At 32.9% G+C, this 25,942-nt stretch overlaps 1 protein-coding gene across 8 annotated transcripts in view; it reads right to left on the bottom strand.

The window, feature by feature from the left end:
• Positions 1–25,942, bottom strand: part of CCDC178 (coiled-coil domain containing 178) — a 503,635-nt gene that overhangs the window by 22,459 nt on the left and 455,234 nt on the right. For 5 of the 8 annotated variants that reach the window (NM_001371120.1, NM_001308126.3, NM_001371121.1 and 2 more), the window contains 2 exons: positions 23,417–23,488; positions 14,683–14,817 (listed from right to left, as the gene is read on the bottom strand). In NM_001371120.1, coding sequence (NP_001358049.1) covers positions 14,683–14,817; positions 23,417–23,488 — 207 coding nt within the window. The remainder of the gene's footprint in view (positions 1–14,682; positions 14,818–23,416; positions 23,489–25,942) is intronic. The other 3 variants (NM_198995.3, XM_011525951.2, NM_001105528.4) reach the window with 1 other exon arrangement.

The raw sequence follows: 25,942 nt of genomic DNA on the forward strand, positions 1-25,942 counted from the left end.
AATTAAAAAAAAATAAAAATGCTGGAGTCTTTTGTTGTTGTTGTTAAGTCTAAGAAAAAATCAGAATACATAAAATTTATGTCTTTCCAATAAAAGTGATCAGAAATAAGCTTATTTTATTTTAAAATCAAGGGAAGAAATACATTTTGGCTTAATATGTCATTTAACAGAATAAAAAGAGTAGATAATTTAATTCATGGAATTGAATATTGACAAATGTTTTATTAATCTCCTAAAGCTACATCATATTGACACATTGTGAAATAAATGCACTTTTATCTTAGATATCAATATATGAATTGTGTTTATCTTTTGTTTATCTTTAAAGGGAAGGAAAATAGGTGATCCAAGGCTACACTTTTTATCCACAGGCACTCATGGATATTGTCAAAATCTTCCAGATATTTTGAAGAGGTGAGAGAATCAGAAAACAGGTATCATAACCAATGAATAAAAAGCAAAGAATTAGAGAATAAATGGTTAGAAACAGAGTGAGTGGAAACAACTTTGAGGTGAAATAGGAAATTAGAGACTAGATGGGGAAGAAGGAGCTCTTAAACACACTCAAAGGGAGATTTTGACAACAGTCAATATTTGAAAAAAATAGAGTAGATTTGGTTACATCAACAGTCAAGAAAAACTTCATTTATTCATTTATTCAACTTTCTTGTCAGGATACGTCTAGGTGCTAGTCTAGGTTCTATACGCTAAATGCTAAATTAGGTGCTAATTAAGCAATAAAGATAGTCCCTAAATTGGACCCACAGAAATCTGGTCTTGATCACATCTCTGACCTCATTTTGTACTCCTCTCTACCCCAGCACTATGCTTCACCCATACAGGCCTTCTAATTCTACCCCAAAAATCGATTCAGCCTGATGCCCCTTGGATTGTCAATTTCACCACTTGGGATTAATCCTGCACGAACTTTCTAATTATGTTCAAGATATTTCCTAATTTTTCTTATAATTAATTTTTTGACCCATAATATATTTACAAGTGTGCAATTTAATTTTCAAATATTTAAGGGATTTTTCAGATATCTTTTTATTATTCATTTATAATAATTCCATGTTGTTAGAAAACTTATTCTTTACTATTTCAATCATTTTACTTTTATTAATACTTGCTTCATGACCCAGGATATGGTCTATATTTGGAAATTTTATATGTTATGTATACACTTTAAAACAATCATATGTAGCTATTTGGGATGGACTGTTTCTTAAATGTCAATTAGGGCAAGTTGGTTGATAGTGTTGTTCAACTCTTCCATATTCTTACTGGTTTTCTGTCTTTATGTTCTATTAACTCCTGAGAGACGAGTATTGAAATCTCAAACTATAATTATACATTATTTTATTTCTACTTTAAGTTTTCTCAATATTTGCTTTATATATTTTCAACTTTTATTAGATACATACATATTTAGGGTTTTTTATATGTGCTTGATGAATTCATTAATTCTTTTTATGAAATGTCTCTCTCTATTCCTGATGATATTTCTAGTTGAGAAATTTATCTGATATTAATATAGACTCACCAACCATATTGAGCTTGGTGTTGCATGGTATACTCTTCCATCTTTAAAACTTTCAAGTTACCAGTCTTTTCTTTTGTAAAGTGTGTCACTTACAGACGATTTAAATTGAGTCTTGTATGTTATCTAATGCAGTAGTTCCCAACCTTTTTGACACAAGGGGCCGGTTTCGTGGAAGACAATTTTTCCACAGACAGAGCAGGGAATAGTTTTGGGATGAAACTGTTCCACTTCATATCATCAGGCATTCGATTCTCATAAGGAGCAGGCAGCCTAGATCCCTTGCATGTGTAATAGGATTCGTGCTCCTATGATAATCTAATGCTGCCATTGATCTGACAGGAGGCGGAGCTGTGTGTAATGCTTGCTCCTGGCTGCTCACCTTCTACTGTGCAGCCCAGTTCCTAATAGGCCATGGACTTGTACCTGTCTGCAGCCTGGGGGTTGAGGACCCTTGGTCTAATGTAATATATGCTTTTTAGTGGGAGATTTTAATCACTTTGATATAATTTTTGATGTGCTTGGATTTAGATCTATTGTTATTTTTTCTCATTGTTTTCTATTTATTTTTTATTTCTGTTTTTTCTTTACTGTCTTTTTTTTTAGGGTTAATCAAACACTTTTTAGAATTCCATGTTAATCTGATCATTGGCTTTTTTGTGATATCACTTTTCATTTTTAAAAGAGAGTAACAATATACATCTCTCACTTAGTCTCCATGAGTCAATATCATAATCATTTTATATTTAAGACTTGCACCACAAAATTCTATTTATTCTCCTATCTTTTATGCTATTACTCGAATTTATTTTGCATTTATATATACTGTAAATCTTATACTACAATGTTGTAATTTTTGTATCTAAATTCAGTTGTCTTTTTAATAAATGAAGACAATAAAAAGAGAGTCTTTTACATTTGCCAGTATATTTCTCATAGCTATTCTTCTTCCTTCCTTTCTGTAGATACAGGTTTTCTTCTGGTCATTTCCTTCAAGCTGAAATACTTCTTTTAGCATTTACTGTAATTCAGATCTACTGGTCAGCAATTCTCTCCACTTTCATGTATCTAAAATATCTTTGTTTTGCCTTTAATTTTGAAAGATATTTTTTCTGGGTAGAGAATTCTGGGCTGATTGTTTTTGTATTTTATTCTTTCAGCAGTTTGAGATATTCTTTTATGTCTTCTAGTCTCCATTTTTTCTGATAAGATGTTAGAGGTAATTTTTTGTTTCTTTTCCTCTGGCTGTTTTTAAGATTACCTCTTTATTTTTGGTTTTCAGGAGTTTACTATGATTTACCTTGGTATTTTTTTATGTGTATCTCTTTTGGGGGGTTCTTTGAATTAATTGGATCTATAATTTATGTTTTTCACCAAAATGGCCATATTATTTCTATACTTTTTATGGTTTCAGTGCACTCACCATCGGCAGATAATAAATCAAGTTACATTAATACTATACAAAAAATACCTAAGAAGTGCATGCTGATATTTTAGCACTCGGTTTGGTAACTGAGTGGTCAAGAATGATTTACTAAATATTTAGTACATTTCTGAAATATCAACCCTAAATTAGCCTGATATTTCTGGACTTATTAAAGACCTTACTCTAACTCTTGTTTCACACTGTCTTCCTCCAACATAATCTAATCTCAGTAAAAAACACACAGGGAATTGCCATGGTATAGTGGTTAAGAACAGGTACCTCACAGCCAAATTGCCTAGGTTTATGTCCTGAGGATGAGCATGGAGGACGAAGTTTGACACATAGTAATGGCTAGATAAATGCTGCATTAAATAAAAAGAAACAAAACAAGAATGTCTATTCCATATCCCAGGAATCTGTTTCCTAAGTCCCTCATACTTCTCTGCTTTGAGCTGCTTCCCTTTCCCCACCTCACAGTGTTTCCATTCTTCCCTTTATATTCAGTTGCTCATTCCTGTTTTAAGTCCCACTCTTACAAAGGCATTTCCCTGAATTCAGGCTGAAGTAATTCTTCCTATTTCCTGGCCAATTGTAAAGTTTACTGTCTGTACCTGGTAATATTTAATCATGTAATTATTATTCCTGAATATTTTTATATCTCCCTCTTCATTTCATCTCTGATGCTCCCCGTGTTGCATTTTTATGCTCTACTAATATAAAATTGTTAGTAATTTTCCCTGTACACAATACTGTTTTTGTTCTCATATATCTTTGCTCCCTGTTTATATAACCCCCTGACTACCTTTTGTCGATGTACCCTCACCTTGCAAGATGTAGTTTATGAGTTCTCTCCTTCAGAGAACGGCCTTCCATTCTCAGGTTGAGCTAAGTGCTCTTCTTACTGCCCTCATTTGTATTTACACAATATATTGTGTCTACCTCCTCTATGAGATTCAAGCTCTTTAAAGACAGAGAGTATGTCTTCTACCTTTGGACCACAAGTGTCTAGCAAAATGCCTTTCATATTGTGGGAATCCCTAAAATATGCCTTGAAATTAATTGATATTTTTCAACTTAGCAGCAAACTGCTTAAGGTTAAAAACATGATGTGTATTGTATACATTATGTTGGTAATCAATAAGTACAGAATAAATTCAGTGTTTCAGAATGTTATGGTAATTTACATTTTACCCATATCAATCAAAATGGAATTGTAGAGGCATTTGACCATAGGAGAATAATAACATAATCATTCCTAAAGGTAGGGGTGTAGAACAAATTAGCTTATAAACTCAGCTTAGAATTTTCTGACTCTAACTTTTGGCAAAAGGCACTTATTCATTAGCTATAGTCAGCTTTAGATGAGGGTGGAATGCTGATTTACATTTAAAGGAAGATATTTGGTTAAATGTGGCTCATTAATTTGGATGTTTTAACTAAGCATTTGTTTTCTTTTTTTTGTTTATGTGTTTATGCATATGTTAAAGGCTGAGGCAGGAATCATTAAATTGAAGTTGTCCAAGCATTTATTTTATTACATTATATGACTAGAGGTGTTGTGTGCCTATATGTAGTTTCTTGAATTCTCAAGTTTGCAATGACATCCATGGAGTCACCAGTTCCTGAAGGGAAAATGACTGGGAAGTATGAATGTTTCCACGATTAATTAATTTTGGCAAAATGTTGAATTTTCAGAGTCGTCTTAACACAGTACCAGGAGAAAAAAGAGAAGAAAGTGAGCTAAGGTAGTCAGGGCACATTACTGTGTACAGGGCACATTGTATATACATCATCTCATCTAATTCTCACAGTGACCCTTGGATAGGTGCTGTTTATACCTGCTTCACGTCCCAGATGATACAAACCAAGTCAGCAACCAACTTGTCAACCCATCTACTCCAAAACTCAGACTCTAGCATTCAGAGCGGTTAAGTGTATATTTTCACTTCAGAAAATATCCCATAGAAAGAGAGATTTTTTAAAAAAGTTTACCCTTTGAACTGTTTATTTACACAAGCATTAATGCAAAAAACATTTCTAGAATGTATTTCAGCATCTTTCCTGTCCTTTCATATGCCCCCCTCTCTATTTTGTTTTTCTCATTAGAACAGAGCGGGACTGTATCTTTAACTTGTTTGTTTACTGTCTTTTTTCCACAACTGGAAGGTAAGTTCCATTAAGTTAACGATTTTTGTCTGTTTTGCTTGCTACTGTATACCCGGCACCTCAAACAGTGACTGGCACATAGTCTTACAGTAATTATTTACCTAACAAATGAATTGTAAAACAAAATAAAAATATATCAATACATGAGCAAAAATGAGCAAAATTTCTTTCTCATCAATCCCTTCAGCCACACAGATCACAAATCCTACTTCGTTTCCAAAAATTCTGTGTCAGTAAGTGTGCATCCTTCTAGACCTATTTCTGCAGATTTAAATATGGATAGTTACAGGTAAAATATAAACACACAACTGAAATATAGACTACTGAAATAAAGAATGCTATGCATTTATTTTTACCTAACTAAGGTCATTTGGTTAAGATGTTATTCTGTATGTTTTTCTTCTTTTTACTATTTCTTTGACATAATTTCTTGGCTTCCCAAAGTTCCTCCTGATTCTTTTAAAGTCCTGTTTAGCCTGACATATTTTAGATATATGTGTGTTTATTTATGTCTTCATATATTGATGGATATTTACATTGTCTTCAATGGGTATTTACATTGCCTTCAATTTTTCACTATCACTAGTGCTATATCATGAACAACCTTAGAACACGCTTCTTGGTACACAAGTGGGAGTGTATCTTTAGTATAAAATATGACATTGTTCTATTAAGGAATATAGGATTTTAAATTTTGAGGACAACATAGTCCTCAACAGAATATGAAAGTTTACTTTTCTTTACACTATAATCACCACTAATTAATATATTTGAAAAACATGCCAGCATGATGACGGAAAACAAATTATTTTATATTATTAATTTTTTTGTACTTCTGATATTTGGCATTTTTTCATATATCATTTATTCATATATGAAACTTGAAATATTTTCCTATTGGGTTATATTATTTCTTATTGATTTAAATAAATGCTTATTTTATATATAAAAATATATAAGATATATAATAGAATCAATTTTTAATTATATCTTTTTCCATGAAAATGTATTTATTTTTATGTAGTCAAATTTATTACCCTCAGTGTACCTTAACACTATACAACATTTTATATTTTAAAAAATAGATTTTAAAAATGTTTACTCTATAATGTATATAAATATACAAAATAGATATACAAAATAATCTATTCTGTATATTTTGGATATTTACTTTTATCTCACATAGCTGGCAAGTGAATAGTCCATCTCATCATATACAATTTGAAATCCTACTCTCACTATATTCTAAAGTCTAAGTATTTGTGGGGCTTTTCTTGGATTCTTTGTTCCAGTGAGCAGCTTCATGCCTGCTGTCTGTTTTGTAAAAGAATTTTTATTGGAACACAGCTGCATCCATTTATATACTACTGTCTATGGCTGCTCTCCTGTTACAAGGCAGAGTTGAGTGGTTGCAACAGAGACTGTATGGCCTGGAAAACTAAAAATATTTATTATATGACCCTTTAAAAAATGTTCATCAACTATTCTGTTTTACAGATCTTTCTATCCATTCTTGCATTAATGTTGTGCTGTGTTAATTAATATAACTTTTTGATATATTTTGCTACTCAGTGGCATAAGTTCCCTCACCCCAACCCAGCAACAATTTTTCCTTTTAAAAAGTGTTAGAGCTATCCTTGTGGATTTTAATCTTCCAAATACATTTAGAATCACCTTCTTGAGCTTCACACACAAATTTTGTTCGGATTTTGAGTATGATTGTATTGAATGGATTTTTATTTATGGATTTTTAAAAATTTTGGATTTAAAATTTGATATCTAGGTATATATATGTAATCTTCTCATCCATGCAAATGATATATGTTTACTTTTATTTGGGTTATGTCTTTCTGGCATTGTTTAGTAGCTTTCTCCAAAAAGATTGAGCTAAATTTTTGTTAATTATGGTTAGAAAATATACTTTAGATTGCCATTTTAAATAACTGTCTTATTAATTCTAAAGTTTTTTTTGTTGATTCTCAGTTTTGTCCATTTTCTGAGTGGTATCTCTACCTTCTTTATCAAATTATCAAGTACATTTTATGAAGTTAAATTTGTAAACTATTTTGTAACTTTTATTAGAATAAGTATATTGTTATTGTTAGCAAATGCTTCTCAGCATTGATTAAAACTATGCTGCCTTTCTCCCTTAATCTGTGTTTATATTAAATTACATTAACATATTTTCTAAAGTTGAATCTCTTTGCAATTGAATCACAACTCACAGGTTTTGATATGTGATGCTCTTTTTTTTTTTATTTCCAAAAAGTTCAAGATGTGCCAATATTTCCCATTGTGATTGTGGATTTGTCTAGTTTTCTTTGAATTTTAACCAGATCTTACTTTATATATTATAAAGTTATGTTGTCATGTGCATTACGTTCAGGATTGATGTCTTAGACTATATCTTTTATTAACATAAAAGATCCAAATTTGAGTTTTCTAATTCTTTATTTCCTTGAATTTTCTCTCTCTCATTTTAAAATTGAAATTCTTTATTCTTTTTTTTTTCCAGGATCTTCATTCAGTTTCTATTTGCTTGAAGTGCATTTCTTCTAAATAACATGAATTTTGCTTTTATGACCAATCTACAAATCTGTAACTTTAAACTGTGCAATAAAACCATTTACAGTTATTAGTATCATTAATGCATTTAGCCTTACTTTATACATTTTGTTGCTCTTCCTGTACTCCTTGCATTTTGAATTATCTAATTTTTTATGGTACTTTTTTTTCTCTAGTATTTTGAAACTGACAAATTTTTTGTTTTGTTTTTAAATTTTATTTGAATGGAATCATATAGAATGTTCTTTTTATATTGGTCTAATTTAATTGTGTTTGTAATTTTCATATATACTTTTGTTTTTTTTTTTAATTTTTTGATTGATCCATTATAATGGTACCTATTTATGGGGTACAATTTGACATTTCAATACCTGCATACACTATATAATCAGGATAGATAGCATATTCATCTCCTCATGCATTTATCATTTCTTTGTGACAGCACTCAAAAACCCCTCTTTTAGCTATTTTGAAATGTACATTATTGTTAACTGTAGTTACCCTATCGTGCAATATATTAGAACTTATTTCTCCTGTCTAATTGTAACGTTGTACCTGTTGACAAATCTCTCCCCATCCTCCTCTTCTCTAGCCTCTCCCCATTCTCTGATAATCACTGTTCTACTCTCTACTTCTATGAGACAAATATTTTAAGATTCCACATGTGAATGAGATTATGTGGTTATTTCACTTTCTGTGTCTGACTTATTTTACCTAACATGATATCCTCCAGGTTCACTTATGTTGTCTCAAATGACATGATTTAATTCCTTTTTTTATGGCTGAATGGTATTCTACTGTGTAGATATACTACATTCTCTTTATTCATTCATTTGTTGACAGGCATTTGGGTTGATTTCAAGTGTTGGCTATTGTGAATAGTGCTGCAATGAACATGGGAATGGGAATGCGGATATGTCTTTGACACAGTGGTTTCATTTCCTTTGGCTATATACCCAGTAGTGGGATTGCCAGATCATGTGGTAGTTATAGTTTTATTTTTTGAGGAATCTCCATACTGTTTCCCATATGGCTGTACTAATTTACATTAGAAAAATCCAATTTTAGATTTATCGTATATATTCTTAAATTATAGGCAACTATAATTAAATACTTTTTCTATTACCATATAGAGTGAACCAGTAATATTTAGGAGTTTAATGTTATTCCTTGAGCATAATATCTCTAAATGTATATATATTAAAAGTCCAAAATGCATGTTTTCTATAAATTCTTCTGTGTTTCAAAAGATCACACAGAATCAGAGATTTCCTTTTACATCACACTGCTAAGTGATTTTAAATTTCTGTTGTGGTTTTTTTCCTGACTTTCCTTCATTTACACAATTCTTTTCCAGAAATAGGAAACTATCCCTATATCTAGTTGTTTGTGTATGTGTGTGTGTGTTAAATGATTAAACCTATGCTATCAGAATTCCTGGCAAAGCAACCAGTGAATGCTTTTGTTTATTAAGTAACAGAACTGTAGGCACCTAGAGGTAGAAAGAACTTTTGGAGTTATCACATTTAATCTTACTAAACCAGTTCACTAACTCAACAAAATTTTTATACTTATGTTCCAAGAACTGCAGCTGGTGCCAGGGAGATGAAGATGAAGAAATAAGACATGCTTTCTGAGTTGAGAAGACTCACATACTAGTGGGTGAGAAGGCACAGACACACACACAGATACTTGCACAAAGAGGTCATAGGAACCTACTAGGGGGAGCACATCCCTGAGGAGGTGCCCTCTGGACTGACCCCCAGTCCATTTGCTTCCCCTCAATCACTGTAGTAACATCTTCCCTAATGCACCTGGCCTGTTTAATCTAACATCTGAACACCAGAAGTGCACGCTTGGACAGAAATACTTGTTATAAAATTTATTCCTGTTGACCCTAAACCCACTTTCCAACCTCTCCCATGATTTGTTCCCAGTGTTGGCTTCTAGAGCTCAACAAACTATATATACCAACCCTTACTTGCAGTCCTTCAGATATTTGTCCTTCCAAAGCCTTTGTCTTTCAGGTTTAAACATTCCAACTTTTTAAATATTTCTCCCACTCTTTAATCTTTCTTATATTGCTGCTCTCTAGTGTGTCAATATGACCCTTAAATTATGCTTCCCAAACTTGTATAAAATACCACAGATATACTCAATGTAAGAAAAAGTGCAATTTATCTTATGGGACTCACCTCCTTCCAGATAAAAATGCCTCTGCTTACTCAGTCTAAGACCACATTCATATGCTGTAGCTTCTTCACTCTCTCATTTAAATGATTTGCTAGTGCTCAGTCTTTTTTCCAAATAACATGCCAAAAAGGTAATAAATACCACAAGTTTAAGTAAAAATAAAAAATAATGGGAGGAGAAAGGAAATGATAATAGTACTTCGTAAGAGCTCTGACATGAAGTTAGGACCTCATATAAAATATGCCATACACTGTCAGAGTCAAGAAGTTGTCTGTGATTACTAGGGCTGGGACAGGCCTTTGGTTCCAAGTTTATAGTAGCTCACTTTCGCTCATATTAAAATTGTGGTCAACTGAAATCCCTAAATCTTTTTCATATAAAGGGCTTCAAAGTCAGATACACCAATTCTTTGTTCCAGTTATAACTCATCTTATTGGTTTCTGCTTGATCATGTAATTCAAAAGCTTATCTGGCCCACCTGGTTTTCTGCCAACTGTAGATCTGCCAGTCATGCCTTTGTGTGGCCCTGTAAGGAATTGTTCCAAGGCCAAGGATAAAACAAAATTTCTTTTTTTCTGTTTAACTGATTTTTGAATTGCTTTTCCTCAATATTGGTTATATACAATTTACTTTACAAAACCTTCATCAAATGATTTTTGCATTGAATAGTTCACCGAAATCTTATGGCATCATTTTAATACTACCTTGAGAATAGGAAACATTATTTAGACCCCCTGACATCGGCACTTAAAGGAATCGAGATACTAAGCCACAGGAAAATGAAAACCAATAGCATCTGGTCTGTTATGCAATTTTTAGTCATGTTGGATCATGTTGTATACATTGATACCTGCAGATTCACTCCACAAATACATTAAGTCACTCTAGCATGTTTTCCTTTAAAACAATTGGATATAAGTGAAAACAAGATAGACATAGGGTATTATCAAGCCCCCTAGTAGCCTTGCTACAATACACCCTAAAATACAACCCAGGGAGAATTGAAAGGATTTCACTGATGGTATAAAGGCCTGAAGGAGCTTAGAATCTTCCAGAAAGGAGGACAAGCTACATGTAGGAGTGGTTAGCTGCTGAAAATACAATTGTGGTTCGTGGGTATATACAGGGTACAAGTAAGGTAGAATTTAATTCATCTTGCACAGAAAGGTTGGGGAAGGACTCAGAATCATTTTGTAGAGGAAGTGATTGAATTGGGTCAGGTGGTTTTATTTATTTATATTTTATTATTTATGTATTTATTTTTATTTTACTTTAAGTTCTGGGATACATGTGCAAAATGTTCAGGTTTGTTACATAGGTATATATGTGCCATGGTGGTTTGCTCCACCTGTCAACCCATCATCTAGGTTTTAAGCCCTGCGTGCATTAGGTATTTGTCCTAATGTTCTCCCTCCCCTTACCCCCCACCCCACTACAGGCCCTGGTTTGTGTTGTTCCCCTCCCTGTGTCCATGTGTTCTCATTGTTCAACTCCCACTTATGAGTGATAACACACGGTGTTTGGTTTTCTGTTTCTGTATTAGTTTGCTGAGAATGATGGCTTCCAGCTTCATCCATGTCCCTGCAAAGGACATGATCTCATTCTTTTTTATGGCTGCATAGTATTCCATGGTGTATATGTGCCACATTTTCTTTATCCAGTCTGTCACTGATGGCCATTTGGGCTGGTTCCAAGTCTTTGCTATTGTAAATAGTGCTGCAAGAAACATACATGTGCATATGTCTTTATAGTAGAATGATTTATAATCCTTTGGGTATATACCCAGTAATGGGATTGCTGGGTCAAATGGTATTTCCAGTTCTAGATCCTTGAGGAATTGCCACACTGTCATCCACAATGGCTGAGCTAATTTACATTCCCATCAAAAATGTAAAAGCATTCCTATTTCTCCACAACCTCGCCAGTATCTATGGTTTCCTGACTTTTTAATAATCGTCATTCTGACTGGCTTGAGATGGTATCTCATTGTGGTTTGGATTTGCATTTCTCTAATGATCAGTGATGATGAGCTTTTTTAATACGTTTGTTAACCGCATAAATGTCATCATTTGAGAAGTGTCTGTTCATATCCTTTGCCGACATTTTCATCAGGTTGTTTTTTTCTTGTTAATTTGTTTAAGTTCCTTGTGGATTCTGGATATTAGACCTTTGTCTGATGGGTAGATCACAAACTTTTTTTCCCATTTTATAGGTTGCCTCTTCACTCTGATGCTAGTTTCTTTTGCTGTGCAGAAGCTCTTTAGTTTAATTAGATCCCATTTGCCAATTTTGGCTTTTTTTGAAATTGGTTTTGGTGTTTTAGTAATGAAGAATTTGCCCATCCTATGTCATGGATGGTATTGCCTAGGTTTTCTCTAAGGGGTTTTACGGCTTTGGGTTCTACATTTAAATTTTCAATCCATCTTGAGCTAATTTTTGTATAAGGTGTAAGGAAGGGGTCCAGTTTCAGTTTTCTGCATATGGCTAGCCAGTTTTCCCAGCACCATTTATTAAATAGGGAATCCTTTCCCCATTGCTTGTTTTTCTGAGGTTTGTCAAAGATCAGATGGTTGTAGATGTGTGGTTTTATTTCTGAGGTCTCTGTTCTGTTCCACTGGTCTATTTATCTGTTTTGGTACCAGTACCATGCTGCTTTGGTTATTGTAGCCTTGTAGTATAGTTTGAAGTCAAGTAGCATGATGCCTCCAGTTTTGTTCTTTTTGCTTAGGATTGTCTTGTCTCTACGGGCTATTTTTTGGTGCCATATGAAATTTAAAGCAGTTTTTTTCCAATTCTGTGAAGAAAGTCAATGGTAGCTTGATCAGGTGTTTTTAAACAGGCATGATAAAAATGAGTATTGCAGAAACAGGGAAGAGTATAAACACAAAAGAAGAAGAATGAGTTTCACAGCAAGTTTCTTAATTAGCAAGAATTTTGGAGTGGCTGAAACATACTAAAGAACTGAAGCAGAGAGAAGATGAAGCTGGGATTATTAGCACAAGCTGGGTCATGAAGATTGTTGTGTACCATGCTGAAGGTTGTAGACTTGATTTTTTTCCCCAGAGGATTGCATATTTCCACTGTTTTGTAGTAAGATTTTGAAAATTGTATTTTCACATTTTTATTAAAAGCCAAAATTGAAATATTCTAAATGGAAGCCATCTCCAATAGATAAGAAAATGAGGCACTAATTTATGCTGCTCACGTTCCCCAAATACAATCCAACCTTGCTGCTGTGTCTCTAGGTGCTGAGTAGTTGAGTTTCCCTACCTAACCTATCCCATCCCTTCATTTCCACTGTTATGTAACAGCCATACAAATAAGCAATTTAAAATCAAGTTTGGTAAACAATATGTTGGTGAAATTCTCATAAAAATTAAAACAAGGATTATTGAAAGGTATGAATTAGAGAATCACTTTACTGATATTCAAATAATTTCTAATGACATTTTTAATATTTGAAAAGACATAATAATTCACAGTGAGAATTTATCATTTGTAGATTTTTAAAAACATTTGGACAAAAATATAGATTTTTCTAAGATACTAATTAGAACATGCAGATTACTTTTAAATATTTAAAAGAGATTCACAGGTTCCAGCCACAATATAATGTGTTACATTTTAACAGACTTAAGGAAAACAAGATGCTCCTGACTTCTAAAATAATGCAATTGTAGTTTGTACTCAAGTTTGTACATAAATTTCTACTAAATCTACATGTTTTAAGCACTGCCTTTCAAAATCTTCCTTTTTCTTCTATTATTTTAAATTTTTTCTTATAACCCACTGTCAAAACAACCCATATATAAAGCACACACACACACACAATCCTCAGAAGAAAATATCAAAAAATAGACAACAGCAAAAATGAAATTTGAAATCGCTTCATAGCTATTCAAGTGCTTTGCAAAATCTTCCTTTACTTGAATTAAAAGTAATATGAAGTGCGTGTATAATAAAATGTTTAGAAAAAGATTTGGTTTAGGGTTCAGCATTCATTTCATATTACTGAAAAGTGTGATTTTATGTTTTTGTTTTTCACAGAACAGGCATTCTAGTTTTTGTTACTTAATAGAACAAGGTAGTATGTGTTTTTCTTTGGGAGGTCATGTTTTATGCAGGTAGTAACATGTGATATGGTAAAACATTAATTTTTTAAAAGTTTAAGTAATATTTAAGAATTGTCTTCACATATTTAATGTGGGTTTCTAAAATATATCATTCTTAAAATGAAACAATGTATCTGCTAAATGTTTTTATTGAAACAAGGAGTAAAATCTCACATGCATCTAGAACCACAGCTACTTTCTAGTCTCAAGTTGCTTATCTTTCAAATAAAGTCATTTCCAAATCTGCTTAGGATGAGCCTCTTGCAAAATAGAAAAGGAAAGACAACAGTTAAACTAAGTAAACATAAGAGGGTTATTTTCACTGAAGTGGATTTTGCACAAAATCAGCACAAGGTATCTTGTGTCAACATCTTTTAAACAGCTGGATGACATCTGCAAAGCCTGAAGATTTGAAAAAAAATTATTTATACTAAATGTATTTATAGAAATCAGTTCTGAGGTTTGTGAGAAATAAGTCCAATCTCCCTTTTCTCCCAAAGTATGCATGGTATATGTGCTAACTTACTGAATTCATTCTTCATGCAATTCCAGTTTATTAAAGAGGTTAAAAATTTATAAAACTCTGATGGGATATGGTTTTAATGCTTCATCACACTACCCATCATTTGCTTTTCAATCTAGATCAGAATGATCTTTCCTACTTCCCTGCAATCACCTACCTGCACAGCTAATATTTTCTGAATACTCTCCTGAGAGTCTGTCTGGAAGTTGGCCAGCCTCATCTGGCTGAAGAGGACCACCAGTTTGAAGTGCTCCTGCCACAGTGTGTGCATCCTTCTCTGCAGCTGACAGAGCTAAAGGGAAGAGGGAGGGGAGAAAACACAAGTCAGAGGAGGAGAGGAAATTAATGGCAGTGTTCAAGAAGAATGATGGAGGGAAATATAGAAAGCAGTCAATAGCCCATTCTGCACTGCACGGACCTGACAGGAATTTCACAGTCTCTTGATTTTTCAGCCCACTCATGTGCATTCATCAGAAACCAGTCACATCTGGCCGCCAGGATGGGGGGTTAATTTTCTCTAAATGCCTCAGCAGTTTTGTTCTAGCTGAGGCAAACTCTGTGACTGCAAAGCTGATGAGTAAAATATTTCTACTTCACCCAGTTTAACTCAAAACCGATAGCCTTGGGACATATTGAACCTTTCTTGAAAAAAATCATCTTTTGAAGCCGTTTTGAATGGCACATCAGGTCAAGCCAAAGTTTAAAAATGCAACTTTAAGACTTTGATGGACACCATCACTGCTTTTTTTCCTCATAAAGCTTACCATTGCTTGGCAATGTGTGCTTTAGAGCATGACAAAACTAAAGAGAATTAACTTAGCCATCAACTGCTGAGGGAGAACAATAACAAGGAAGAAATTTCCAGCTAGAACTCCCTATTAATCTACCTCCCTCTGACCATGTGACATGGAAACATCTCACTGCACTAAAGCATAGTGGATGCGGTGTTAAGAAGTGACATGTTTAATACAGGATCTGTACAGAAAAAGAAAGAATTCACCTATGACATGTGCTAGATCATTTGGAAATTTAATATAAAAACCAAAAGAAAACAGTGGACGTTTTATCAAAACAATGTACATTTGCCCTTCACCAGTTACCGTAGGCACGCCATACAGAATTATTATAATAAGGCATTTTCAAAGGGATAAACATAAAATTAACAGTAAAAACAGTTTCTTAAAAATCCCAAACATTTATAATGAATGCTTATATTATATATTTATAATGAATGTATATATCATATGTTTATACAATATAATACATTCTGTCACTGAAAACTCTTGGTTTTGGGGATGTGGATAATTGCTGATATCAGCTCATTTTTAGCATATTTTGCAGAATGAAAAAACAAAATTCACATCCAAACATATAATATCAAACACAATTTTTATATTAAATACTTCCTCATACCAGAGTAAAAACATGTGAAAAATGTGGCTATCTGATGGGTTACATATGCAGGATCCTCTGTAAAACATCAATAAAGAGTGTATGTAAAATTTGGGAATGCTTTTGTATATATATTTCAATAAAACAATTCACTTAACTAAATACTTGGTATTGCATGTAAATTGTTTACCATCATTATCCTCATTATGCATTGTTATAAATAACACATATGTATTTGTGTTTGGTTCCCAGGAAAATAAAGCCTCTATTTTTGGTTAGTTGATTAGGAAGAAGAAAAGACTTTGAAAACTATAGGTATTTCAGCTTACTAAATGCTGAATTACATTGTCCAGAACCAGTTTATGGGCATTTCAGATAATTTGGGCTATTAAATTAAAACTTAGCATTATTATTTGAAGAGAAATTTTGTCAAACTTAAAAAAAATTGTGTTTTCTTTAGTATTAGCCAAGCCTGACAGTCAATGTGGGGAGGTATGCTGTATCTTGATATACTCATTAAGACATTTGAAAAGTTTAGTTCATTGTGTATGTTCACAACTACATAAAGAGTCATATTAAGACTGTAATTATTGTTCAGGGACAGGAGAAGGGTCTGGGTATTGGGGGTTCAGGAATGATCCATAGGAGGTAGCACTAGCCCTGTATTACCTAATGTATGCATCAATGATTTAAATAATATTAATTAAATTTGCTTTAACAATAAGATGCAGAGCACATGTATATTTAAATTAGATATTACTTCAATTTGAAACAGTGGACAAGGCTAAAGAAGCTGACATTTGTGTCAAGTAAACATTAATAGCAGAAAAAAAGAACCATGACAAATATTCCTGAAAATAATTTCATAGCATATATATGTTTGAAATTTGTGTGATTTTTATACTGGTCTTTATTATTAAAATATGACCTTGCAGTTTACAGATTTTTTTAAAGGGCAAAAATGAAATGAGTGTGAAGGAAATTTTACTTGCTTAAAAAATAAAATTATCAATCAGTTTTACTAACAGGATATCTCATTTCTGAAATTACATGTGGAAATATATTTTGAAACACATATTGCAGTATAGTTCTTTATATACTACCTAAATACATTGTTTGCTGAGGTAAACATCCTGAATGAAGAGGCCATAATCTTATAGATAAATACAATTTGCTAAATGATGCTTAACTATAAATTGTCTGTTGTGGGTGGAGGCTCTGAAGAGATTAGATTTTTGCTATTTTCTTAACAAAGACAAATAATCTGTCAACTTTCTCAATTCTTGTCAATGTGACTTATTTAAACAACACAGTTCATAGGTTGATTGTATTCACAGTGGGCCTGTTGAGATAGCTTCTTTGATTAACCCCCGTTTACAGCTGAGAAATCTATATTTTAAAGAGGTTAACTTGCTTTAGGTTATTCAATTCCGTCTAACTTAAAGTTTAAGTTATTAACCATGATGCCATATCAGTTAAAGTTCAATGGCTTTTCTCTTTCTCTCTCTGATATTTTAGCAGTCACTTCTAGATTAAGGATAGTCATAAAGACTGCTAGAAACACCCAAGGGTTCCGTAGACCTTTGCCACAGAGTTTCCTGGAAAATAGGCTGTGATGCAAAATGAACATCTAGATATGCTTGTTAGACATTAGTAAGAAGTGCATGATAAAACCTTACCACATAGCATAGGTTTTCAAATTATTGTCTACCTCAGACCTTACTTTACTAGTTCGTTGTAATTTGGAATTTTTAAGACAACAACAAATGGGAGCCTACCTTGTACAAAAATTGGACAATAGACTATTAAGACAAGAAAAGTTCACAGCAATAAGCCAGAAATAAACGATTTTCAAAGAACGGCTGTAGGATGAACTCTTAGCCTTACTGAGTGGAATCAGATATCTCAGTGAAAAGTCACCTACAGCAAAATACCACTTTAATTTTCTCTAGTATTTTTCTTATTCCAAGGCTGTAGTTATTTGGAGCCAGCTTAGCTCTCAGAATACCTTATTATTTCCCCCAAGAGATCCTAGGATACTCGGAACTACACCTATGAACAAAGATTTGTTTGCCAAAGAAAATAATAAATTAATACTATTAAAGTAGCCACAAATATGATAAAAAGCAAGTAATGGAAAGATGAGCTGTAGAGGAATTCCTTAACAACAAGGTAAATTTTGCAAGTGGGAGCGCTTCAGCATGTGTAAACAAAGCAAACTGAATAGTAATGTTTTCTACAGCCACAAGTCAAATGAGGAGAAGCAGCTGTATGCAGTGTCTGTTTTTATTCAGTTGTCTGTATTCTAGCTTGAGGTAGCCATAAAGGCCTTGAATTTATCCATATTCACATGTTAACTGAAGCCTCTTAAACAGAGAAGTTTTTAAGGATCAACTAAGAAAGAGTAATATCTCAAAAAAGATTTTTTTTTTTTTTTTTTTTTTTTGCGGGGAAATCAATAGCTAATAGGCCTATGGAAAAACAAGAACCAGGAAAAGGAAGAATTAAAGACAATCTTAAAGAGAGAAGAACCAGTATCCAATAAAATAACATATGCACACAAACACATTTGCACACGAAAGACAAAAAGACTATTCAAAAGAATATTTAAGGAAAAACAACTAAGATGCTGCAAAGAATGATTGATTATATCAAATAGGTATGACAACAATTATTTTAGGAAAGTGATTATGAAAAAAACCCATTTTAAGATGTCAGCAGTGATCACTTGATAAATGTTTATTAAAATGGACCCAACTTGAACTGATAAAAGTTTACCTGATAAAAGGTATAAATCAAAAACTTCCATCAAACATTTTACTAAATAAACTTCAGAAATCTTCCTGGGGATGTCGGGCAAAATAAAGTAAGGATATCAGAAATCAATACCCCTTTTTAAAATTGTATTGCAGATTCTTGTCGAAACAATAAAAAAGCAGAAGGACAAAAGATAGCTATAAGAGTTAGAGAAAAGGCCGGGCACGGTGGCTAACGCCTGTAATCCCAGCACTTAGGGAGGTCCAGGCGGGTGGATCACCTGAGGTCAGGAGTTTGAGACCAGCCTGACTAATATGGTGAAACCCTGTCTTTACTAAAAATACAAAAATTAGCCAGGCGCGGTGGCGGTTGCCTATAGGCCCAGCTACTCAGGAGACTGAGACAGGAAAATCGCTTGAACCAGGGAGGCGGAGGTTGCAGTGAGCAGAGATCGCGCCATTCCTCTCCAGCCTGGGAGACAGAGTGAGAATCCGTCTAAAAAAAAAAAAAGAGAGAAAAAAAAAGTCTATATGAGAAATCCAAGAGGCTCTACAAAACAACAAATGGAGGTGATGAGGGTTTAGGAGCTTTCTGCCTATAATATCTGCACTGAAAAATTAATAACTTTTTTTTTTTGAGACAGAGTCTTACTTTGTCGCCCAGGCTGGAGTGCAATGGCGCGATCTCAGTTCGCTGCAACATTGCTTCCTGGGTTCAAACGATTCTCCTGTCTCAGCCTCCCGAGTAGCTGGGATTACAGGCGACCCCTGCCCCCACGCTGGGCTAATTTTTGTATTTTTAGTAGAGACAGGGTTTCGCCATGTTGGGCAGGCTGGCCTTGAACTCCTAACCTCAGGTGATCTGCCCTCCTCAGCCTCCCAAAGTGCTGGGATTACAGGCATGAGCCGCTGCGCCCGGTCCATTTTTATAAATCAATATGACCAATTTTGAATTGTAATAGAAAAATCCTATTTATTACCATAAAATAAAATGAAAGGTACTTAGGTTTATATCTATTAAAAATGGGCAAGATTTTATAAAGAAAGTTACAAAATATTTTGAAGAATAAAGACTGAATAAATCTGGAGGTATAATGTGGTCATATATGAGAAAAGAGTGTCATGGACAAATCAGTTTTCCACAAAGTAGTCTACAATCTCATCAGGTTTCATGAAAGTTGATCTAAAATTCACATGGAAGAATAAAGGACTGAGAATATGTAATGAGACAACTGTGAAACAAGAGAACAAGCCTGAAAAATTTGACATGTGATATATATAATTTATCTTAAAGCTGTAGGAATTAAGAGTAATATTAGGATCATCCAAAGAGAGCATTTGATCAGCAAAGAGAGCTGAGTAACAGACACATGCATATAAAATGTAACATATGACAGAGATATCACTACAAATCAGTGCGGAAAGGATGGCTAATAATTGGCTAGCTCCATGCAAAATAAAATAAAATGAGATCCTTAACTCACAACATAAGGAAAATAAAAGTAAAGTAGATTGAAATGAGGAAAGTTAATCTTTAACAATTTTTTAAAAAAACATGACACAACTTTATGGCTTTGAGGAAAGGAAGAATTTTTAAATAAAAATTAAAATGATAACTTCTAATGGAAAAAAAATTGACAAATCTAACCACATTTAATTTTTTTAAGTTAAATTTAAACAGAGTAACCATATAAGCTGCAGGTTTAGAGAAGATTTTAATAATACAGCAGACAAGGATTAATTTCTTTAACATATAAAAAGCCCGGCCGGGCGCGGTGGCTCACGCCTGTAATCCCAGCACTTTGGGAGGCCGAGGCGGGCGGATCACGAGGTCAGGAGATCGAGACCACGGTGAAACCCCGTCTCTACTAAAAATACAAAAAATTAGCCGGGCGCAGTGGCGGGCGCCTGTAGTCCCAGCTACTCGGGAGGCTGAAGCAGGAGAATGGCGTGAACCCGGAAGGCGGAGCTTGCAGTGAGCGGAGATCGCGCCACAGCACTCCCGCCTGGGCGACAGAACGAGACTCCGTCTCAAAAAAAAAAAAAAAAAAAAAAAGCCCCTATAAGTCAATAATAAAAATAGAAACAGTATACCAGAAAAACATGGGCAAATTATACACATAGGCAATTCACATAAAAGGAAAGCTATTTGGCCTGAAAACATTTGAAAAGTTTTTCAACTTTAATAGTAGGATATGAATAAATAAAATTCAAACTCATCATATTGTCAAATACTAACAAAATCTGTCAATATCAAATTTTGGTAAAGATGTGAAAAAAATTAAACTCATATGCTGTTCAAATTTGTGTATAATTTGATACAAAAACTTTGGAGAACAAACTACAATTTCGTATTGAAAATGAAGTTGTACTTTCCCTTTGATCCAGCAATTATACTTAAAGCTACATACTCTAGACTTGCTATAGTAAAAATTTGGAAACAATCTAATTGTCTTTGAAGTAATGAAAAATACATTATGGTATGTTCATACCCTAAACCACAGCATTTAAAATAAACACACTGGCCGTATGTGGTGGCTCATGTCTGTAATCCCAGCACTTTGGGAGGCCAAGCCAAAGAGGATTGCTCGAGCTCAAGAATTTGAAACCATCTTAAGCAACATAGTTAGACTCTGTCTCTAAAAAAATAAAATAAAATAAACACATTAAAATTGCAGGTGGTATGTATGTTAGAGAAACAAAAAAATCTTACAAATAATACTTTTTGTTTTAATTTTATCACTATGTAAAAATGGCATTAAAAAAATTGGAATGGTAAACACAAAAGGTTAATTAACCACGAGGAAGGAGGGGAATAATAATAGGAAGAGGCAGACTGAGGATTTTGAATGCATCTATACTGGTTTAAACATGCAAAACAAATATAGAAAATGTCAGGATTTACTAAGCTGGTAAGGTTACACAGAAATTTATTAGAAACTTGTTTACTTATAGTTTATATATAACTCTGTAAATTACTGCATGCTTAGTTGTTTCTTTAAAGAACAAAACCTATGTTAAGGTGACATCTCTGCAAGAAAGGCATCCTCCACATTTTGTGGCTTAGAATGATTTACTTTCAGAGAATTTATTATAATTTGTTTGTTAAGGGTATCCTATTATACGTGACCATCTGTCAAAATATAAAAATGGCTTTTTGTACAATATTTTTGTTATATACCCACTAAATGTGATCTTACCTATAATAAACAAAATATCTGAAATACTGAGTTTATATCATTAAGGAAAAAATTACTACTTTCAGCTGCCTCATAAAATTATTGGTATTTTCCTTCATCCCACTCATACAATTAACACAGTTGTTGGTTAGTGACTTCATAACTTATTTCATATGAAATTAAAGATTGCCATATGTAAAATATTTTCATGAGAATTTGAATTTGCTAGTTTCAAAAGGTAACCATAGAGCCCAGATGTTAAAAATATATTAACCTTAATAAACAGATATTTTTGTCAGCTTATACACGTGTCATATGCTAATGTGTTGAAATAATGACTAGTATGTTTTTTCCTTAAAAATTCTTTAAATTGTGTCTGTGTCTTACAGAACATAAATACCATTGAAAACACACTTTGGATAAAATTAAATCATTTTTAGAGACATATGGTACCAAAAATTAACTCCCCAAAGCACATCATTTAACTGGCTTTTGCAATTTAAGAACCCTGGAAAAAAAGAAAGGGAACGTTTCAAGGAAATGAGAAGTGTCCTTATAATGAATTTCTCCTTATAAGAATCAGACATCACAACAGTCTTTTTAATTAAAATACAAATACCATATGTATAGTTATCTGAAAATGAACTATAAATTGTTTTGCCAGGAAACAAAGACCAGTCAATACTGAAAACAAAAAGTCCTTTAGAATACAAAGATGATAGTAACTGGCAGGGTAGACAGTGCATGAACAGCACTCACAGTTCTTTGTCTATGAATAATAATTTGTTCATTCTGGATTTGTGAAAACATACAACTGCTGGATTCAAATCTGTGAAAGGGATTTTTGAAAATACCTTATTTATACTTTTTTGGATGAAAAACATCTTTATAAAAACTGGAATTTATACAGATCCAGTTTCAACTGGTAGTTGAAAAGAACATAGAATTTCTCCACATGCAACATGAAAACCCATTAGATACAGAATCCAAACAGAAAATTAACAGAATCGCTGCAATAAACAATCTTTATCAATACAACATGTAGGACAAGTATGAAAAGTGTGGAACAATTCCAAATTTTTGAAGTAAAAATTACCTCCCAGGATAAATTAGCAGAGCACACAGGGTTTTTAGGGCGGTGAAAATATTTTGTATGATACCACAATGGCAGATACATGCCATTATACGTTTGTCCAAACCCATAGAATGTACAACACCAAGAGTGAACCCTAAAGTATGAACTTGGAGTGATGATGATGTGTCAATATAGGTTCATCAGTTGTAACAAATGTACCAGCTGGCATGGGTTGTTGATAATGGAGGAGGCTATGCATGTATGTGGAAAGGGGGTATTCAGAAACTCTCTGTACCTTCCACTCCATTTTGCTGTAAGCCCCAAAACTCCTCTAAAAAATAAAATCTAAAAAAAAAAAAACCACTTCTCAGTACACTGGAGTGGGAATTGGGAGTAGGTACATGGTGGTGACAATGTGTGACACTTGTTAGAGGTTACAGTATTTCTGAAAGATGCACGTGTATGCATGGATTAATTCATCACAGGTACCTGAAAATTTGAGAGTTCATCTGATATAATTGGCAGAGAGTTTGGAAGTTTCTTAGGTAAGAAGCCTGCAACCTAAGAATAGAAATATTACAAATATTACAAATGAAGCCATTTCAGAAGTCCGTATTTCCTATCTACAAACACAGTCAAACAAATAGTACAACTGTAGAAGCAGCTCTAAGATTTATTCACATTTGACAAAGAAGAGAAAAAAATGCTGTATCCTGTAGATTTGCATTTGCACCTTAGGTAATCTAATTAAAATCATATTTAAAGCTTTGACAAAATACGATAAAGGCCATCTGGAAAAAATAATGAGCTTTTCCTATAGGAATTTATTTTAGATAGAAAGAAGGTAGATAGATAATAGCACAAATACATTCATTTATTTGCACTAGAATATTCAAATAATGGTTACAATTTCAATCTGCTTGTTGTAAGTTTTCACATACTGAAAGCACACTGCGTTTCTCAATTTCTGACAGATAGATAAAACTGATAAGTGAAGGTATGTGCATGCAATTTTAATTCAACAGAGTGATGTGAAGTGCAGCTCACAAGGCAAATAGCATAAGCCTTATCAGTTCTGTTTATTGTAATAACCCAAACAATAGCAATTATAAACTACTCCACAGATTTTTGGCAAGGCAGGAATGACAGATATAAAAAATCCAGTTAATACTGAGCTATTTATAGTACTCAGTTACAAAGCTATACATGTACAATATACAAATATCAAAAGTAATGAGATATTTCTTTATTACCAAATCCATTTCACAGACTAGTGTTAAAGATCACATAGCTCATTTCTGGAAATAGCTTTTATTAACTGCTTAGATGTACTTAAGAAAAATAAGACCCACGTGCACTCCCAATTTTGGTGCTGGCATTTAAGAAAATTAAAGAAGAATTATTTAATTACTCTAATTATATAAAAATAATATATTCGATAATTCTGCATTTGGATCTCTGCTAATATATAAAACCATGGTATGACAGAGAGAAAGCTGATCTACACAGACACTATTAATTTTTGTACTGAATAGTTAAAAATCAAGTCTATCCTTTTATATGAATATGCAAATGTATTTCTTTGTATACTTTATAATGATAATACACACTATTACATATAACAGATAATAATTCATCTTTTTTCACATTTAATAGTAGTAACAACCTGCAAAACTTAAAACCTTCTTAGTTTGATAATTTGGTTCTGAAATAAAATTACTGCATTCTGGTAGATTTTGATAAAAATGTGTAAAGACAGTAGTTTATATATTTTGCTTAAGTTGCTAAAATTCACACTGAAATCCCATGAACAGTTCAATAAGAAATAAATGAATGAACGTATATGATTAATTCTAAAATTATTGTTCCTTGTGATTGAAAAAATTGTTAAACCAATAATAAAACAAAATTATAAAATAAAATTACCCTCACAATAAAAATCTAACTTTTCTCAAATGAATAATTGTTCAAAAATGGTTGAAGATAGAATTACATGACAGCTAAATATGAAAGATTACACTGTCAAACATAGAGATGAACATATTTTTGAAGCATACACTTCCTTGCCTGCTTGTCAGTCTTTTGCCCAAAAGTAATTAAGTACCTTGATTTTAAAATGTGGCCAAATAAATGGTCTAAGTTGGCACTTTCGGTTTTCATTTATGAGCTGTGGTTGAGCAATTTTCTCTGATGATTATCCACAGTATATCTTTATAGTCTTCTGAGACCCACTTATTTTAATGCAAAAAATCAAGAAAATGCTTTAAAAATTACATTTACCTAAAATTAATTCACAATAAAAACATTATTCGAAAAAGATTAATTATAGAGCTCATTGGTTTATTTCAAAATTTCAAGAAGAAATATAGTATATTTTTACTTTTAAAACATTAAATTTCATTATAAATACCCCCAGCATTTTTATTTCTTTTACACACAAGTAAACATAAATGCTTATGAAGTTATTTGTTTTAAACAATTTGCAAAAATTCAACTGCAAATGTAAATAAAATACGCCACACAATCATGCAATGCGGGACAGCCTAAGTGTGGAAACTAGTCTACAGCTATAAAAATCATGGGTCAGAAAGTATAAGCTTCATTTAGAATGCAAAACTCTGACCCTATTATTGTCTTAGCTTCTTGTTAGTGATCTAGAATTGTTCTAGCACTAGAAGAATGGCAAGAGTAAGAAGAAAATCTGAAAAGTAGTGCAAATTGTCACAGATGCCCAAAATTTATAAACTCATTTGCTGGCTTGCACTGGTATATATAATTAAATCCAGGTTATGACAAATATTATCGAATATATTTATAATAAAACAATGCTTTTTCTACATTAGTTACTAATACCATTCTTTCAGAAAACATTGTGAACTAAATTGAAGATACTCAAAGAATCTAAAAAGAATATAAATAGCAATGATTAATATAAATGGAATACTATTGACTCATATTAAGGAAACTACAGATGTTCTACCACACTCTGGAAATTTATTATGGTAGCAGTAGAAG

This window comes from Homo sapiens, chromosome 18 (genome assembly GCF_000001405.40).
Source record: "Homo sapiens chromosome 18, GRCh38.p14 Primary Assembly".
Classification (NCBI taxonomy): domain Eukaryota; kingdom Metazoa; phylum Chordata; class Mammalia; order Primates; family Hominidae; genus Homo; species Homo sapiens.